The following is a 3,211-nucleotide window of genomic DNA, read 5'->3' on the forward strand; positions in this document are numbered from 1 at the left end:
CTCCCACAGAGTCTATGAAAAGGAAAATTTTGCTTATTGATATGGAACTATACTATTTACTTACTCATTTGAAAACTATAGTTCAATCAAATTATGCCATTATACTTTTTCTTCCCACATTCCCTAACCCCAGCACTGTGAATGTGCTTTCAGATGACACGTTATAAAGGCTGCTCAGTGGAAAATAAGAGTAAGGACAGAGGGGCAAAGCCATTGTCTTTGACTAGAGTTAACAAATAAGTTAGAGAAGTGGATGGTCAGTCCCGTGGTTTCATCCTTAAAAAGAAGGCATTGAACAATTTGAGACTGTATTAAGAAATTATCTTACCATTGGGCAGAAATGCTGGTTTTCTGTACACCCCTTATTACATCTTGGGTATATTATTGTTTTCTGAAATAATAGAAATAGTTGCAAAGCCTTGGGCTTTGAAAACCATCACCATTCAAGAATGTAGTTGCATTTTGTCAGCCACTGAGCTCACAGGGGCTAATTTTTAGAGTTAAGCATGATCACATTTACATTCTACTTATATATTTCTTCTGTAGGTCATCTATAGTTTAATGCAAAGCCTGGCTTCCACTGTGTTGCATTTCCTTCATTCTTTAGGAGCCTACTTGTATCTTACACCCTTGAATGGAAGTTTATTAGGCATACTGTACTCATTCCTTCACTTACTTCAGGTCAGCATTTCCTAAACATAATAATCCACAAGACGGTTTTTCCATGATATGTCTACCTTCCATATCTTCTTAAATTCCAAAGAATTCAATGTGAGAAATGCTGTTCTGGGAAAGTAACTTTCATGTCTGAAGTGATCTATTGGGGAATTCTTTCTTTTCAGTTGGTTTTATGTTCTACATTGTTTGATTTAAGATAATTAATAAGCATAGAAAATAAGTTCTATTCTTAAATCAATGGAGCTTACTTTTTTTTTCAACATAGACTTAGGGTAAAGAGCATAAATAGTGCTCTGGCTGTGGAAAACACCTCAAAATCCCAAGCAGTAGTATCCAAGAAGTTACCAAGGAATCAGTTGGTCCGAGTAGGCACTTCCTATTCTGCTTTCTTCTATTACCTGCAGTGACATACATTCCACTTGCAGAAAGAAATGCACTCCACAAATTAGTCATAGTTTCCAATTTTTTTTTCAACTGGACTTTTGACAAAATCTATAATTTAAATTTTCATGATGATTAATCATTTGAACCCCCGGAACATAAATGAAAAAAAAAAAAGTGTAATGAGTAATCATCTAATGAAAAAAAAAAAAAACCTACACCAAACTTAATTAAACTCAGTGGAGAAAGTAGCCAGAATGACAAAGCAAACATATATTATTTTTATTTCATTTTTTTGGAAACCCAATATTTTATATTTTAGTTACCCTATTAAAAAATTCTATGTTCCAGCTCTACCGTTCTATATTTTGACCCAAACTTTTCCAACATAGACCTGAAAATTAGTTGATCTTACAATCTGTGACAGTTGCAATGAAGAATTTAAGTAAGCTCTATATTAGTTAAGTAATATTTAACATTGAGTGTTAGAATATTAATTAAGCAATAATTTGAGGACATATTATATGGGCATATGTTATCATCTTGCAGGGTGAAGACGTTATAAATATATAGTTCTCTCTCCCCTTGCCACTTCTTTAAAATTTATACAAACTCTCTCAAAATAGCTCATAAAAGGAAAACCTCACTCAGCATAAAGTTACTATACTGTTAAAACTATGTAAAAGTATTGGGAAGCTATAGGGGAAAGTTTGAATCAACAAATATTTTCGACATTCCTACTGGTAACTCCAAGGCCTTTTTTTTTTCTCTGTTCTTCTTCCCCCTCCTTGTCTGTTACAAGTTATGACGTGTGGATGAAGGCTTTTTCCCATGCAGTAATGACTGTATACTGAGATTTCAAGGGGCTGTTCATGACAATCCCATTTTCTGTGTAATTTCATGGTTGTCTTCTTGAATGAAGATATTGGCTGCTCTGAAGCAGGGGTCAGCCGCTCCTGCTCCCTTTCAGTATTGTTCCGGAGTATGTTTCCTTTCAGCTGATGAAAAGTAATTCATCATTTACACCCCTGAATTCTGCCAGCATTTTTTGAACAACTTTTCTTTCCCTGTGGTACCTTAGGCCCATGAAAGAGATAAATAGGTTCAATACAACACCAGGCCCCAGATCCTGGGAGCAGGTTAGGCCTCTGAGGCCCCAAGCTGCCCCTTTCTCATGATAGAGTTTGTCACCTTTCTACCTCCAGAAGTCAAATCCTGTCGACTCAGCCATCTTTCAGGCTCTCTGAAGTGGCTTTGGCACCCACTGGGGCATGTGAGTTTAAAATTGATTTTTTTTTTAAGATCTGTCAAGTTCCCTTAAGGGACGGAGTTGACAGCCAGCAGGCCTCAACTATCACAAAGCATTCAATGTGTAAAAGACACCTAAGGAACTTCCTTTGAGGGGCCAAAAGGCTTCAGACTTTGTGACACATTAGAGGGTGCTGTTGCTAAGAAACTGGCTTTTGGCAATAGGATTTTTTTCTGCAACTCTGCCACTTTGGGAAGTACTTTAAGCTACCTCTCTTCTTATGGCAAAAGACAACATTGCCTATTATGAAAACAAGATGCCCCCCAAAAAGATGTTGAATGGACTCATTACATGGTTCTTCACACTCCAAACGCCTATTACTTAGGCATTTTAGAAATCAGTTAACTCTAGTATTTGTACCCGCTTTCAGAAGAATAAAACATTAGGCAATCTGACTTAATCAAAATAAAGTCTGATATTTGTTTCTAAAAGCAAGGATATTAAGTGTTTAGGAGTTGGGATGTTGTAGAAAATCATGCAGAGATAGATTGTTCTTTCTCAACTTAGAGTAAACAGTGACTGGCTTAACACCCTAGCAGTAAGTAGTATTGCCCAGGCTACAGCTTACATTTGGTTTGTTGCAAAATAATTCTGGTGCAGGTATGGCCATTTGTTCCTGCCCAGGGTCTACTGGATCAAGCAACTGTTTAATTCAGCCTTTTATTTAGCCATCACCTTTAATTTTATATGTTCTCTTGGAAGTCAAAATGATAGGAGCAGGGTCCTCCTATATTGTTTTAAAGGATAATGAAATATTCTATTCTTTGTGTTATTGATTTTAAACAGCTTCAATATAGCAAATAATTCTTTTTGCTGTTGTTGTAAATGAAGGAAACAACTTAG

The 3,211-nt window shown here is 36.1% G+C and overlaps 1 annotated feature.

Annotated features, from left to right (window-relative positions):
- Nucleotides 1,691-2,686: an enhancer, noted in NCBI's record as "VISTA enhancer hs568". NCBI's record gives its function as "enhancer in: hindbrain (rhombencephalon)[7/11] | midbrain (mesencephalon)[7/11]" and the evidence as "EXISTENCE:transgenic organism evidence [ECO:0001131][PMID:17130149]".

Source organism: Homo sapiens, chromosome 2, assembly GCF_000001405.40.
Source record: "Homo sapiens chromosome 2, GRCh38.p14 Primary Assembly".
Classification (NCBI taxonomy): Eukaryota; Metazoa; Chordata; class Mammalia; order Primates; family Hominidae; genus Homo; species Homo sapiens.